This window comes from Homo sapiens, chromosome 1 (genome assembly GCF_000001405.40).
Source record: "Homo sapiens chromosome 1, GRCh38.p14 Primary Assembly".
Classification (NCBI taxonomy): domain Eukaryota; kingdom Metazoa; phylum Chordata; class Mammalia; order Primates; family Hominidae; genus Homo; species Homo sapiens.
The window spans coordinates 181,238,605-181,256,260 of record NC_000001.11 but is presented as its reverse complement, the minus strand read 5'-3'; the positions used below and the strand labels follow the sequence as shown (position 1 = coordinate 181,256,260).

Below are 17,656 nucleotides of genomic sequence, written 5' to 3'. Positions count from 1 at the left end.
GGCCTCCCAAAGTGCTGGGATGACAGGCATGACCCACCACACCCAGCACCTGCTTGACTTTCTCCCTCGCTTCAAATGTCATGTCCTCAGAGGGGGCCTCTGTAACACAAATCCTTTGACCTATTATATTTGAGGGTCCCAGCAAGAAGTGGCTAGAACATTCAGCAATGATCTTTGGAGAGATCTTTCCATGAATATTCTACTCAAGGAGGAAACCAAGAAGAGATTTTAAGGCCCCTCAAAACTAGCCACACTAGGAAGCCAATACCACGGTTAGTCCTGCAAGAGGAGAAACTGGTGTTACCAGAGCCCCTCTGAGAGCCAGAGCCATGGAAGTGAGAGTGCTTGATGGCGCTGTGGCCTGAGGAAAACAATCATTGCAAAACTGTGGCCAAGCAGAGAGCAACAGAGCAAGCACCTGGCTCTCTTCCCACCCTCGAGTCTCCTGATGATGCCTCCAAATACAACTGGAAATCAGAGGGCAGAGAGCCCTGATGATGCAATCCATGGAGTTCAGGCTCAAGAGCACAGAGTGGAGCAGAGCAGAGCTATAAGAACAGATCTGGAGCAAGCAGAGATTACTCAGCACATCAATATCCCTGGTTTCCCCTCTTCCAACATGAGTCATCACATTCCTCCTTCTGCCTGCTGTAATGACTGGTGATAGTCCAAAGGATGAGGACTCAGTGAGCCTGGATCACAGAGTGAGAAAGATGCAGAATAGAGCCCACCTGCCCACCCCACAATTAACATGGAGCATGAACAAAAAAAATCAGCCCCTGAGATTTGGGGGTTGTTTGTTACTGCAGTTTCATCTAGCTTCTCCTGACTGATGCACTTCCTCTATCATCTTAACATGCCTTGTTTTCTTCATCAGACTTATCACCACCTGATAAACTTTCAGACTTGTTAATTATCTGTCTCCTTCCTCTAAAATGTAAACTATGGGGACAGGACTTTGTTTGTTTCACTACTAATTCTCTGCATCTAGAACACGACCTGGAAAATAGTGGATGCGGTTCTTTGTTTATCAGGGGAACCCGCCCCCAATATTTCAACGTAGGTTCTATTTTCCATAAGTGTCAGCCAACTGAGAAATAAAGAGAGACAGTATAAAGAGAGGAATTTTACAGCTGGGCCGCCAGGGGTGACATCACATATCGGTAGGACCATGATGCCTGCCTGAGCCTCAAACCAGCAAGTTTTTATTAAGGGTTTAAAAAAGGGAGGGGGTGTAAGTACAGGGAGTAGGTACAAAGATCACATGCTTCAAAGGGCAAAAAGCAAACTACTAGTAAGGTTCTAACAAAGATCACCAGACAAAGGGCAAAAGCAGAACTACTGATAAGGGTCTATGTTCAGTGGTACGTATTGTCTTGATAAACATCTTAAACAACAGAAAACAGGGTTTGAGAGCAGAGAACTGGTCCGACCACAAATTTACCAGGGCGGAGTTTTTCCCCATCCTAGTAAGCCTGAGGGTTCTGCAGGAGACCAGGGTGCATCTCAGTACTTATCTCAACTGCACAAGACAGTCATTACCAGAGCGGCCGTGTATAGACCTCTCCCCAGGAATGCATTCCTTTCCCAGGGTATTAATATTAATATTCATTGCTAGGAAAAGAATTTAGCAATATCTTCCCTACTTGCACGTCCATTTGTAGGCTCTCTGCAAGAAGAAAAATATGGCTCTTTTTGCCCGACCCCATAGGCAGTCAGACCTTATGGTTGTCTTCCCTTGTTCCCTAAAAATTGCTGTTATTCTGTTCTTTTTCAAGGTGCACTGATTTTATATTGTTCAAACACACATGTTTTACAATTTGTACAGTTAACACAATTAGCACAGTGGTCCTGAGGTGATGTACATCCTCAGCTTACAAAGATAACAGGATTAAGAGATTAAAGACAGGCATAAGAAATTATAAAAGTATTATTTGGGAACTGATAAATGTCCATGAAATCTTCACAACTTACGTTTGTCTACCGCGGCCCCAGCCGGTCCCTCCATTCGGGGTCCCTGACTTCCCACGACACCTCTCCCTTTATTTTTATATAAATGTGCCATGGCGATGAAGACTTCTTCGTTCTCTCGGTTTTGATGCAAGATTCTTTGACTGGTCTGGCACACTAAAAACAAGCCGATTAAACAGAGAAACATGATTCCAAAATGTACTACAGTGGAGCCCCCAACAGACTTAATCCAAGTCGTGGGGTTTAGTCCAGAAAGACTTTCTGCCACCTGATCTAACGCATCAGCTCCAGGCACAATGGGTAAATGAGCTTGAGAGGCTTCAAAAATTTGTTTCTTTAATTTAGTTATGTCCAAGGATAAATTATCTTCCCTACCCAGAAGGTGTCCTTTGACCATTTCCCATGAATGATCAGTCTTGTTGTAGGAATATGGTGTGACACAGAAATCAGAAGTATTCCAGTCACACTGCATTTGCATGTGATATTCAAGACTCATTCGCCGATCTCCAAGCCAAATAACAGAATGTCTTAAATCATTAATTTGATTAGCTAATTTTTGATCACTGCCCTGTTGAGAATTCCACATTTGGGTGGAATTGGCTTGCCAATCATTAACAAAATGAGTCATTTGAATAGATTGGTGTAATGCCACTCCAGCAGTGGTGGCCAGTGCAGTGACTGTAATTAGGCCCATGGTCACAGTCATTAAAGTGAAAACAAATCTCTTAGATCTTCTGAGAATTCATTGTAATATTTCATTAATTAAACATACTGAGGGGAAAGATTCCCAAGGTCTGGGTAAAGTTACCAGTATCCAGATTCCTTCTCGAGCTCGAATCAACATTACACTTTTCCTGAAGTCAAAACGGGAATTAACACAAGTGTGTAAATGACAATTAATGCATTGGACAGTTTGATTGTTTGTCCAAATTTTGAAATTTCCCACTAACAGCATGTAAGGAGGCTTAACACAACTCTGTATAGGAATATTCAGGCTGGAGGTAAACAAAGCAGAATGTTTGAATCTACATTGATACTGAGGGAGAGGAGCGGTGGTGGCAACGCCCAATGTTCTCCACTGTAAAGAAGCAATCCGAGGTGCCCGGGGATGCCAAAGAGGTAGAGTTAAGTCAAAAAGAATTATCATAGAGAATTATCAGAATTATCAGTCAAGAAGAATTATCATAATGCCAATTGGAGTCCCATAAAGGAGGATCAGCATCAAAAAGAGGAAAAGCGTTCAAAGGAGATTTATCACGGGGTTCAGAATCACGGATGCAAGGGGTGGTAGTGGGGACAACAGACAGAAAAGTTTCCCCATCCCATACTCGCAGTCCAGACATGGCAATAGCCAGTTTCCAAAGTTCTGGGTGTTCTGGGCTCAGAATGGGAAATATAATATGAGGCCTCAGGGGAGTAATGCCCTTATCTTCCCATTTTAAGGGAAAGAATGAGCTGAACCTCCTATGCAAAGTAGGATGATGATCCTTGTCCTCCCAATAAGAAATAAAATAAGTAGACTCCAGGCATTCCCTCCCACCAGAGGAGCAATTGTTTTTTAAATAGCCCTTTGGTGCCCAGTCTATTACTAAACCATATGAGTCATTTTTTAATAGTACTGCATGTGAGTTAACACAAGCTTCCCAAATTTAAGTTTTAGATGGGCCCTCAAAATTTTTAGGACATGGTTTTCCTACAGGTTTATATTGAAAGTATGGGGTATCTCCTATTACTCCCCTTTTCATTTGTCTTAAAGGAGAAAGGGAGAGGCCAGAGACCAAATGTCCCTGTTCCCCTGTAGCTAATCTCTCCAGAAGATAAGCAGCCCAGACTTGAGTTTCTAGATGGATCCAACCAGGTGCATGTCCAAGGCACAGAGGAGGGTATTTATAACCCATAGTAACATTAAATGCAGTGTTTTCTTCTGGTTGAGTGGGGAAACAGTCATCTGTAGCTCCAGGCATCCACACACTATCGTTAGTATAGATTTCTGCAGGAGCATCCATCCAGGGGAGAGGTCAAATAAGTGGAGGAAAAGGCACATAAGCCCAATAAGAATAATTTTGTTTAGCAGGTAAATCAGTATGAGGGCAAACTGGTGAGACAGAAAGTATAAGGAGGAGAATTATTAAATAAAACCTATTGTAAGTGAGATCCAGTGCTGAAGGAGGAAGAGAACAAGGGGATGTTATTTTTAAGCTAATAGAAATGGTAAGATTTTTAGGTTCGTAGGGAGAAAAAGAAAGGCAATTAGGAGAAGTGGGATTAGTTAGAGGGGTCTCCGTTGCCATTAGGGAGGATTGAATCAGACTCTCTTGATTTGGCATGCCAGTTTCTGAGGAGTCGGCACAGATCTCACCAGGTATGAGGGCGGTCTCTGATGCAGATGTCTCTTCCCTGTGGTTTTCATTGTTAGTATTCACATGAAGTTTCAGCCTCTTAGTGGGCACCCAGACAGGGGATTGATGATCTCCTGGTGAAACGTAAACATAACCTCTTCCCCATGTTATAATTGTTCCAGGTTCCCAGGTATTGGTTTGGGAGTTTTTCCATAACACTGGCTTGCCTTCGTTTAGGGAGAATTTTTTGCCTGTGTAATGGCTTTCAGCTGCGGTCAGAGTATTGTCTTTAGGAACATTTAGAAAGTTTAAAGTAACAATGCTAAATGTAATTGGGATTGGGGAGTGGTTAAATTATGGTTTTGTTGCTCAGACTGTTTGGACAACTGAGTTTTTAAAGTGCGATTGGCCCATTCCACCACAGCCTGTCCCTTAGGATTGTAAGGGATTCTGATAATATGGGAAATTCCCCATTGTTGCATAAATAAATCAAAAGCCTTACTAATATATCCAGGGGTGTTGTCTGTCTTTATCTGATATGGAAGCCCCATAACTGCAAAGCAAGAATACAGATGTCTTTTTAACATGGGGTGTGCCTTCCCCTGTTTTGCAAGGAGCCCAAATAAAACCTGAAAAGGTATCCACAGAAACATGTACATATGAAAGTCTGCCAAAAGAGCTAACATGAGTCACATCCATCTGCCATAAATCATTAGGAGTTAGGCCTCTGGGATTAATGCCATGTTCCTGATTTGGAAGTACAAAAACTTGGCACTGAAGACAGCAGTGGACAATAAGCTTAGCCTCCTTCCAGGTGAGAGCAAATTTATCTTTTAATCCAGCAGCATTGACATGAGTGAGATTATGGAACTCGTGAGCCTCTTGGATAGCAAAAGAGACCAAACAGTCGGCCTTATGGTTACTAGCAGACATGGGTCCCGGTAAAGTGGTATGAGATCTAATACGTGTAATATAGAAATGGTGTCTACATTGGTGAACCACCTGTTGTAACCTTGAAAATAAAGAAGCCAATTCGGAATTATTAACATGTTTGATAGTAGCAGTTTCTATATTTTTAGTGGCATGTACAACATAAGCAGAATCAGAGACAATATTTAAAGGTTTGGGGAAATCCTGTAAGGCAGTAATTACAGCAATTAACCCTGCCTTCTGAGCAGAGGTATAAGGGTTAGAAATAAGCTTGTCTGTAGGACCCACATAACCAGCATTTCCATTACTGGAGCTCTCCGTGAACACTGTAACGGCCTCAGGAATAGGCTGATCTTTGGTCAATCGAGGGACCACCCAAGAAGTCATTTTTATAAAATCAAACAATTTGTTTTTTGGATAACGATTGTCAATAACACTGATAAAATCAGCCAAGTGAATTTGCCACAGTATGGAATGTTGAAAAGCAGCCTGAACTTTGAGCTGATTTAAAGGAACCACAATTAAATTCGGATCAAATCCAGAAATTTTAAGTATTCTACACCGAGCTTGTCCAATTAGGGTGGCCATTTGGTCCAGACAAACAGATAAAGTTTTTGACACAGAATGAGGAAAAAAACACCGTTCCACTAAATCATTATGTTGAACTATTAGCCCAGTAGGGGAGTGCAATGAAGTGAAAACCAGAAGCTGAAAAGGCTGAGATGGCTGTACCCTAGACAACTGGGCAGTGTGGATTCTTTCCTCCATGAATTCCAGTTCCAGTGAAGTCTCAGGGGTCAAAGTCCTGGGACTGTGGAGATTGGAATTTCCACACAATGTAGAAAACAAGTTAGACAGCGCATATGTTGGAATGCCTAAAGTAGATCTTAAATAATTAATGTTACCCAAAAGTTTTTGGAAATCATTTAAGGTTTTTAAAGAATCTCTCCTAATCTGAACCTTTTGAGGTTGAATACATTCTTTATTGACCACCATTCCTAAATATTGAACAGGAGTGGTCTGTTGAATTTTATCCTGAGTGATGTGTAAACCAGCCTCTGTAACACGGTGACTCAAAAATTGATAACAGTCAATTAATTATTTATCAGTGGGGGCAGCAATTAATATATCATCAATATAATGAAGCATATAGGCCTGGGGAAATTGAGCTCGAACTGGAGAAAGCACCTGTCCAACATAAAGCTGGCAGATGGTAGGGAGTCTTTAAGATCAATAACTATGAGAGGCCAATTCTTAGGTATTAAAGCAGGGGCAGGCACGCCAGGTTGGATGGCACCCATAGGTTTAATTACAGCATTAATGGCCCTTAAATCAGTTACCATCCTCCACTTGCCTGATTTCTTTGTTACTAGAAACACAGGAGAATTCCAGGGGGAAAGAGAAGATTCCACATTTCCAAGTTGTAACTGTTCAGAAACCAATTGAGTTAAAGCCTCCAGTTTTTCTTTAGAGAGTGGCCGCTGCTCAATCCAGACAGGTGCTTCAGATTTCCATTGTAGGGGAACAGGATTAGGAGGCAAGCAGTGGCCGTCATTGAAAAGGATAACCTAAACCAGCCCTGTCTTCTTTTACAGTAACTTGAAGAGCTTTAGTAATTCCTTCATGTCTTGGACTGAGACCAAGTCTGGGAACAAACCCCATGTTTTCCATTATATGCTGACTGGGAGCACTGTAAGAGTGATGTGGAATATTAATTTCAGCCCACCTTTGTGCCGGCAAATCTCTACCCCAAAGATTAATGGGGATTGGTGTGATATAAGGCTGAATTGTACCCTTTTGACCATCAGGGCCAGTGCAAGGCAAGATAAATGTGCTCTGGTGAACTTCATCAGCTTTTCCAACACCTACTAGTCCCACGTTAGTGGGATGTTTAAGCCAGGAGGAAGCCATAAATTAGAGGAAATAATAGAAACATCAGCCCCAGTATCTATTATGCCCTCAAACTTTTTTCCTTGAATGTGTATGGTGCAGGTGGGCCATTGTTTAGAAATTACATTAATCCAATAAGCAGCTTTTTCACTGCTGGAGCCCATCCCAGGGCCCTGTGTCTTATCTCCTTTGTTTAAAACAATATTAGGTAGTAAAAGTGATTGAGCAATTGACTCACCAGCCAGAATGGAAACAGGAACCTTGCAGACACCATAAGTTTAATCTCAACAGAGGAATCAGAATTAATGAGACCAGTATGAACTGTGATCTTAAAAGCTAACATACGAAGGAGAATACCTTGAGTGCACTCATCAGAGACAGATTTTTCAACAGCATCTTGTAATTTACCCATAAAATCAAGATATAATTCATTGTGACCCTGTTTAACAGTAGTAAAAGAAACAGGAGCTTGGCCCAGGGCACTTAATCTATCCCAAGCTCTCATACACACCTTTGTTACTTGTTCCATGGTGAGAGCATCAAAGCCTAATTGGGCGGTAGTGTGAGAGTAATTATCAGAGCCTGTGAGCTGAGCCTGAGTAATTGGAATGCCATAAGCCCAATTTAGCTGAGCCTGCAGACGGGCCTCCTCTGATCACCAGATACAGAATTGTAAATGCTGAGATGGAGTTAGAACAGCTTTTGCCAAAAGGTCCCAGTCTCAAGGAAGCAAAATGAACTCAGTACAAAGGGTCTGTAATACCATTTTAACATATGGAGAAGTAGGACCATACTGAGTACAAGCATCCTTGAATTCTTTTAAAAAGGTAAGATTGAGCAGCGGATATCGATGCACTTATACCCCTTGAGCATTGGGAGGTTCCAGCACAACTGGATAAGCCCATGCCTCTAATCCACTTGTTTCTTTGTTCTAGTATAATAAGCGTTGCATGGAAGTTTCAAGAACAGGCACATGAGATGGAATCAGCATAGAAGTGACAGAAAAAGTATGTGTAGATAAGGGAAACTGAGGTTGAGGAGGTCAGACCAGTATGAGAGCATGAGAAAGGGGCACTGGAGGAGCAGAAGAGGCAGAAGCATACTGGTGATTATTGTCCCAATCCTGTGCAACCAGAATGACAGGGGTGTCCCTGCATGAGGAAGGGTACAGAGAAGCAGGTTGAGTGAATGGCAAAGTGACCAGTTGAGGGACCGAAATAACAGGAGGGTGAGGGGCTGTGGTGGACGGGGGAGGGCCTGCAGAATTACAGGTAAATTGTAGTCTGGTCCCGGAGCCATCAGATGGCTCCGGAGGCAAAGGCTGCAAAGGTTTGGAGAGGGAAGAGTTAGCATAGATATGGTCCCAGGCTGTCCAAGTCAGGGCCATGGGAGCTACAAGTACTGGCTTCTCGTGAAAAGAAATAAGATCATCAGGGGGTGATGTTAAGCCAAAGTCACCGGAGTTAGATATTGAATCTTCAATATCTTCAGGTGGGTGAGGAGTAGGCAAACGGAGAGGCTGAGCAGATAACGAAGGCTGAGTGGGAGAGGGAAACTGAGGAAGAGGTAGAGGGTTGCCAGATTCAGAAAACTGTGGTAACTGCAGGGGGTCACAGGATTGGTATGTCATTAGAATGGCATGTACCAAGGCCCAATCACCCAAACAGTGACGGGAACATAATTTTCTGTCAGGACCAGTTCCCGGAATTTTCCACCAACATGATCCCATAGTTCCACATTTAACATTCCCTTTTCAGGAAACCAAGGACAGTGTTCTTCCACCACCCTGGATAGGGTGACAATATTTTCCATGGGTACCCGAACTCCTCCCTGTTTTAACAGGAGTTTAATATAGCAGAGATAAGCATAATGTTTAGACTCCACATGACCCATAGTTACCCTGGACAATACACAGACAACTCACCAATCGTCAGGGAGCTGAACAAGCGTTTCTGTGGACCGGACCGATGAAAGTTTCTCCGCACCTACCAAAAGGAATCAGGTTCCCACATGCACTTAGGAAAAAGAAAACCACGTTGGCATGCCAGATACTGGGGGAACCCGCCCCCAATATTTCAATGTAGGTTCTTTCTATTTTCCGTAAGTGTCAGCCAGCTGAGAAATAAAGAGAGACAGTATAAAGAGAGGAATTTTACAGCTGGGCCACCGGGGGTGACATCACATATCAGTAGGACCATGATGCCCACCTGAGTCTCAGACCAGCAAGTTTTTATTAAGGGTTTCAAAAACAGAGGGGATGTAAGAACAGGGAGTAGGTACAAAGATCACACACTTCAAAGGGCAAAAAGCAGAAATACTAGTAAGGGTCTAACAAAGATCACATGCTTCTGAGGGAACAGGACAAAGGGCAAAAGCAGAACTACTGGTAAGGGTCCAACAAAGATCACAAGGCAAAGGGCAAAAAGCAAAACTAATAATAAGGGTCTATGTTCAGCGGTACGTATTGTCTTGATAAACATCTTAAACAACAGAAAACAGGGTTCGAGAGCAGAGAACCGGTCTGACCACAAATTTACCAAGGCGGAGTTTTTTCCCCACCCTAGTAAGCCTGAGGGTTCTGCAGGAGACCAGGGGGTATCTCAGCCCTTATCTCAATTGCACAAGATAGACATTCCCAGAGCGGCCATTTATAGACCTCCCCCCAGGGGCGCATTCCTTTCCCAGGGTATTAATATTAATATTCCTTGCTAGGAAAAGAATTTAGCAATATCTCTCCTACTTGCACGTCCATTTATAGGCTCTCTGCAAGAAGAAAAATATGGCTCTTTTTGCCCAACCTCACAGGCAGTCAGACCTTACGGTTGTCTTCCCTTGTTCCCTAAAAATCGCTATTATTCTGTTCTTTTTCAAGGTGCACTGATTTCATATTGTTCAAACACACATGTTTTACAATCAGTTTGTACAGTTAACACAATTATCACAGTGGTCCCGAGGTGACATACATCCTCAGCTTAGGAAGATAACAGGATTAAGAGAGTAAAGACAAGACAGGCATAAGAAACTATAAAAGTACTATTTGGGAACTGTTAAACGTCCATGAAATCTTCACAATTTATGTCCCTCTGCCGCAGCTCCAGCCGGTCCCTCCGTTCGGTGTCCCTGACTTCCCGCAACATTTGTTGAACAAATGAATGAATAAAGGAGCTAATAACATATATTATTAATTATGTCCAAGGCACATTCTCAAGCTGAAGCAGTGGAAAATTAAGCAACTCACTTAAGCTCACCCAGCTTAAACAATGGAGTTAAGTCGTGAAGGCATTTTGACCCCAGAGCCCAAGCACTTGACCTCTGTGCCATGCCTCTTCCAAGTATCAACAGGGCTTGATGGAGAACTTCAAGAGAGACCATTCCAGGCACAGGCCAGAGGCTGGAGAGGGCCAGAGCCTCCTACATGCTGCAAAGTGTTAGTTATGGCTGGAACCGAGAGAGATAACCAATAAACTGTACGGGGTAACAGTGAAAATTAAAAACTTTGATCACGTAAAAATAATGCTAATTAGTCATTTATGTGGACTGCTTACCATTGCTGCCTAATTACTAGGCAGCACAATAATTATGTAGATCTTTAACTAATCTCAACCAAACTTTGTGGTAGGTTTTATTTGATTATAACTGTCCAAGTTCAAAACAAGAGCTTAGAGCAACAATGAGTTGGTTGCTCATGGAGAATGGTTCTCTCCCCAGAATTTAAAATTAGAAAAGAATTACCTGGTCCTTACCAGATACTGCCTGTATTATTAGTGATCCTCCAGGTATAAGAATTTCATCTGGATTAGGAGCTCCTTGAAGCAGGGACTATCTAGTTTTTCCTGATACCATTATTCCCTCCACACCCAGAGTCCAGCTCAGCCCTAACTACAGTGGAGTCCCCTTCACCAGGGTTTATCTGTTGGTGCTCACTCTGTACAAAGATGGTCCTGGTTCATGTGTTTCTGAGTCTCTTCTCGCTGCCTGGAGGTGGGGGATATGGGAAGCCCATGAGTGTTTTGAAAGCATTGGCTGGAGGGTGCCACCTCTACACCAGCTTGGACAATTCCAAGAGCCTTCCTGGAGACGTGCAACAGGCCTTCAGAAGAGTTGGGATGAGGGAGTAGGGGACTGCTTGGTGGCCTAGAAGCTGAGTAGAACCCTTGAAATGTTAGAGAGGGCCAGCTGTCCCCTAATATCCATTCTTTCCTTCTAGAGTTAGAAATGTTTTAGCTGGGCACATGGCAGCCCTGATGAAGACTATATTCCCAGGCTGCTTTGCAGCTAAATGTAGCCATTAAGGTAAGAGAGCAAAAGCAATGTATGCAAGGTCAAGACCATGAATTTAAAAGAAAAGAAGGGACCCTCCCTCTCCTCTTTCCCCTTTTTCCTTGGTCTAGGGTGCAGGCAGGAGTTAGAGCTTAGACAAGCCTCCTTGGATGCAGGATGGAATAAGGTGTTGAGATGCCAGAGCAGCAGGATCAAAGGAGACTGGATGGTCAGAACCCAGAGCTGCAGCCTCACCCCATTACAGAGCATTGCCCCATGCAGACATGATACATGCGAATCACTGCAATAGCGTCGAGAAGAGTAGAATGTAGTCAAGGAATTAGGAAGGCGGGAGTTTTGAGTATTCATTACATTGACTTTTAATATATTCACTTTTAAGTTTATAAAATTTAATTGTTAATTATAGCTCTGTGTAACAATCAGATCCCAAGACTTCTGAAAATGTATGGCAGCTCCAGCTTTGGGTCTTTGTCAGAGTAGCAGAACCTGCATCCTTACTAACACAAAGCTGTTGTAGGACATGGGAGCACACTGGGAGCATGTTCTTGGGGGTGCGTGATAGACCACTCAGCCCGAGGATGAGCTGGCGTCCCCTGAAAAACCATGGTGCCCCCAGGGATAACTGTGAGCAAAAAATTCTCAAGCTTCTATTATGTTTTTTAAAAGCAAAATACTTCTTGCGGCCTAACTCCCACATGAACAGCCCCCTCTCTGTGGAGAACTGCTGTTCTAGATGATTGTGAGGGTTCCTGCTCCAATGCGCAGGGGTCCTTCATGACCCAACTCAGCATTTCTGCCTCTTTCCCATGCTGCCTCTCTTGAGACCTTCTCTTACCAGTTTAAGGGCAAAAAGACATCTCTCTGGTGTGAGGCATAGCCCCTACCCTAATTCTCACTTTCACAAAACACAGGATGAAAGGCAGGTAAGCCATTCATCCAATAAATCTGCATAGATTAACTGGGAAAATACGAGTCTCTGAGTAATGTGTCTAGTAGACTTCCACTTTGTTAAGAATCACAAAGAAGAAGAGAGAAGAGAAAAGAAAAAGAGAGGAATGGGGAAAGGAAGGAGGAGAGAGAATGAGGGAAGGAAGGAAGAGAGAGAGGAGGGAAGGAAGGAAGAGAGAGAGGAGGGAAGGAGGAAGGAAAGAATCTGTATAGGCTCCTTTCTCTCTATTTATATTTATATATTTATACACATACACACACACACAATATAAGAATTTGCATGGGGGCTGGGTGTGTAAGTGTGAGCCTATAGTCCCAGCTACATGGGAGGCTGAGGCAGAAGGATCACTTGAGCCCAGTAGGTAGAGCTGCAGTGAGCCATGATCACACCACTGCCCTCCAGCCTGGGCAGTAGAGCAAGACACTGTCTCTTTAAGAAAATCCATGGGGATAATAAACCTAAATTTATATTAAGGGCTACTTCTAGACAGGGAGGACAATGAAATCCAAAGGAACATCCAGGTTCTTTCAGCTGATCTGCAACGCACGTGCGCGCGTGTGTGTGTGTGTGTGTGTGTATGTGTGTGTGTTTTCATTTAAAGTAAGTTTGGCCAAATTTATAAGAAAAAACAAACAACCCCATCAAAAAGTGGGCAAAGAATATGAACAGACACTTCTCAAAAGAAGACATTTATGCAGCCAACAGACACGTAAAAAAAAGCTCATCATCACTGGCCATCAGAGAAATGCAAATCAAAACCACAGTGAGATACCATCTCACACCAGTTAGAATGGCGATCATTAAAAAGTCAGGAAACAACAGGTGCTGGAGAGGATGTGGAGAAATAGGCACACTTTTACACTGTTGGTGGGACTGTAAACTAGTTCAACCATTGTGGAAGACAGTGTGGCAATTCCTCAAGGATCTAGAACTAGAAATACCATTTGACCCAGCCATCCCATTACTGGGTATATACCCGAACGATTATAAATGATGCTGCTATAAAGACACATGCACACGTATGTTTACTGAGGCACTATTCACAATAGCAAAGACTTGGAACCAACCCAAATGTCCATCAATGAGAGACTGGATTAAGAAAATGTGGCACATATACACCATGGAATACTACGTAGCCATAAAAAATGATGAGTTCATGTCCTTTGTAGGGACATGGATGAAGCTGGAAACCATCATTTTCAGCAAACTATCGCAAGGACAAAAAACCAAACACCTCATGTTCTCACTCATAGTGGGGAATTGAACAATGAGAACACTTGGACACAGGAAGGGGAACATCACACACTGGGACCTGTCTTGGGGTGAGGGGACGGGGGAGGGATAGCATTAGGAGATATACCTAATGTAAATGACAAGTTAATGGGTGCAGCATACCAACATGGCACATGTATACATATGTAACAAACCTGCACATTGTGCACATGTACCTTAGAATTTAAAGTATAAAAATAAAAATAAAGTAAGCTTGGCGAATGTTTGGCAAGATCTAGTAAGTTTGGTGACAGATATTCATTATAAAATTATTTGTATTTGTCTATATGCTATAAAATAAAAATAAAAATGACCTTAATTTTTTTATTTCAAAAAGTGTATTTACTAAAATGAATTCAACCCTAAAAAAAGAAAAATGTTCACATTATACATACCTCTATTAAAGTAAGTGTCTCATTGCATTGTCATTATATAGTTGTATGCCCATATCCCCTTTAGACTATGAGTACTTGAGGGCTAGATCTAAATCCTTTAATCTATGAATCCCCAGTGCCTGTCCTAATGCCTGGTTCAACATCTCCTGAGCCCCTGTTATGTACCAGATGTTCTACTGGACTCCAGAGATACAAAAAGGTAATTTGTATTCAGCCCCTGTTTTTTAAGAATCTTACACATAGCAGGAGAGACAGATAAATAAATAACTCATTATAATTAACTAGGTTTGCTCTGTGATAGACTTGTTGCCCTGGGAGTGCCTCTTCCGCTGACGGAAACAGTAGCAAACAGGTGTGGAGATGCATCATATCAGGGTCAGGGGAGGGAACAGACTTCTGCTCACCTCCCAGCTGCACCACTCAGAGACATGGGACATTGAAGAAACCCACAACTTCGCTAATACTACTCCTCATCCATAAATTCTTTGCAGGATTGTCAGTGTTCAATGAGATAATCTAATTGAAAGTGCCTGGTACCTTGCTGGGATGGTGAGTGCTCAATAACTATTAGAAGACATGGAAAAACTAAGGGTCAAGAAAGCTGAATGATTCATTCAAGATCAGATTATCATAGATAACCAATCCAAGACTCCCAACCATGTGTAGGCTCCCCAGGGCACCTTGAACACAGTAAAAATCTTGAGTTTTCTGGGTCCTCAATAAATGCCTGTTGACTTGAGACTTAATTTTGAATTTGAAACCCCATCTCTACTAAAAAATATAAAAATTAGCCGGGCATGGTGGCAGGCACCTGTAATCTTAGCTACCCAGGAGGCTGAGGCAGGAGAATCACTTGAACCCAGGAGGCGGAGATTGCAGTGAGTCGAGATTGTGCCACTGCACTCCAGCCTGGGTGACAGAATGAGACTCCACCTCAAAAAAATAAAATAAAATAAAATAAGTAAATCCTTTAATCATAGAATCATATCACTTTAAAGCTAAAAGAAATTTGAAAGAATAAATCATTGAATCACCCCCTCTGGTCCCCATAATTGTAAGGAAGGCCAAGACAGAGATGTCAGCTGTCATCTCCAAGACCCCACAGCAGGGCATGGTGGACTTCAGGTCTCCCACCTGCCATCACACTGCATCTCCCAGGTTGAGAGGCACCCTCTGCTCTCCCCTCACAGCACATCTCCCCTCTCCCTAGCCTGTGACACCAGCAGTCACCCCTCACTCATGAGAATCTTTTCTCTCTGTCTTTCAAGGAAACACTCGCCCTTGGTTTTCCTCCGGCTTCTTTGTCAGCTCCCGCCAGTCTCCTGCCTGGGCAACTCCTCCTCTCCCCATGTGGTACTGTGTGGCTTTGGGTATGTCTAGGACTTCTTTGTGCCTCTGGAAAGGTAAGGCAGGCCAGGGTTAGGGCCTGTAGAGAGTACCTGGAAGGTGAACACCAGCTTAGGCCACCAGAATAGGAAAGGTTCCGATGAGGATGCTATGATACTTACTGTGTGCCAACAGTGTTCTTTGCTCACATCATTTCACTGAAACCTCAGAATCATCCTGAGATAAACCCAATTACAATTTCTGCTTCACAGAGAAGGAAACTACAGCTAAGAAAAGTTAGAGGAATTGTCCAAAGTCACATAGAGAGTAAATGGTACAGCCAGGACTTGAATGCCTAAGGCCAAGACTTCACCACTGTGTAACTCTACCTCGTTGGAAGAGGATGTGAGGCACATCCACAGGGTTCTATCCTCCCAGCAATGGTAGCAGTCAGTCCTCAGCTTGACATAAACCTACAAGGAGGGGAAATGAATCTGCACATGTATTTACTTTCTTGCGTTAAAATTCAAGTTCACAGCCTGGCCAACATGGTGAAACCCCGTCTCTACTAAAAATACAAAAAATAGCCAGGCGTGGTGGTGGGCACCTGTAGTCCCAGCAACTCGGGAGGCTGAGGCAGGAGAATCACTTGAACTTGAAAGGCAGAGGTTGCAGTGAGCTGAGATCGTGCCATTGCACTACAGCCTGGGTGACAAGAGTGAGACTCTGTCTCAAAAAAAAAAAAAATTCAAGTTTAAATTGTTTCAGGCCCACACTCTGTGCAGTTGGGTCTGAAGTCTACAACCATGTCCCCAACCCTTTCCTTCTCATTTTCACCTGAAAAGTAACCACTGCCTCCATATGGCTCCACCTACTAAGGATGGTATTGAGCTTTATACTTCCTCAGGGCATTTTTCTCTACAGTCTCAAGTGACCCTTTAAAGTCTATCCTATGGAGCTGGAGGCCATAATCCTTAGCAAACGAATGCACAAACAGAAAATCAAATGCCTCACATTCTCACTTACAAGTGGGAGCTAAATGATGAGAACACATGGACACACAGAGGGGAACAACACACCTGGGGCATATAAGAGGGTGGAGGATGGGAGGAGGGAGAGGGAGAGGATCAGGAAAAATAACTAATGGGTACCAGGCTTAATACCTGGGTGACGAAATAATCTGTAAAACAAACCCCCGTGACAAAAGTTTACCATATGACAAACCTGCACATGTACCTCTGAACTTAATAAAAGTTAAATTTAAAATAATACATAAATAAAGTCCATCCTGAGGATGGGTTTGGCAAAAGCATTCAGGCCAAAACCCCACTCCCTTCCTGGGTTGCCACTCCATTCCTGCAAGCAACCCGTCACCCTGGTGTGTCACCTCCACCAATCTTATACTTCTAAAACCCTCCCCAGAGCCAGCTGCTCATAGCTCACGGCCCCCTCTCTCTTGCAAAGTCTCAACCTTTAACAGGAAGGAGAGATGAAAACTCATGAGTCCTCAAGTCCTTCTATTTCCTACTCAAAATCTCAAAGTCTGTAGAGACACATTCAAGGTTTGGTTTTTTCACCTTGACTAGATGATTTTTCCTGTGTGAATCAGCAGAAGTGGTCAGTCATGGGAGATTTGAACAAGCAAGCTGAGCCCTATCCATGTCAAATTAGGAGACAAAGGAAATGAGAGTGTTTTATAGGTGGCAGAGCACTAGTCAGATGTTAGATGGTGGCCGTTATTTGAGATGAGCCATCCAAGAGGACAGCAGCCTGTCTCCTTCTTAGTCCTGTCTAATCAGACACATCTGACCTCACACCCCAAGACAAAGGGTCACCAACCCCCTGCCTGCAGGCAGCCCACCAGGATACCTTCTAACTTCCAGATAGTACCTGTGGATATAGTTCTCCTGGGGGAGCATCTGTTCAGCCAGGCAGACAAAACTGCTCTTAAATGCACTGATTTGCCACTCTGAGGACCTTGGGCACCTACCATGTCACCAAAGTCCTCCCCGCGCCCCATAACTGGTTAAATGGCCAAGACTTTCCCTTGAGAGAGAGTCTTGCTTCTTGCCCAATGACTCCACTCCATGTGTTTGCAAAATAAAAACATGCAGCTAACATTATTAAATAATTTATACATCTTACCCCATTCCATCCTTTCAACTATGTTTTGATATTTCTAACACATTACATTTTGGCAACTCGAGACTAAGAGAGGTAACTAACTTTATAAAAGCCCCAAGCTAATCAATGGTAATGCTGGGATTTGAATCCATGGCTACATAGTGCAAAAGCCTACTCTC

The 17,656-nt window shown here is 43.1% G+C and overlaps 1 annotated feature.

The window, feature by feature from the left end:
• Nucleotides 9,662–9,862: a silencer, noted in NCBI's record as "peak492 fragment used in MPRA reporter construct". NCBI's record gives its function as "represses an SCP1 promoter by STARR-seq MPRAs in K562 erythroleukemia cells {active_cell/tissue: K562}" and the evidence as "EXISTENCE:reporter gene assay evidence [ECO:0000049][PMID:32103011]".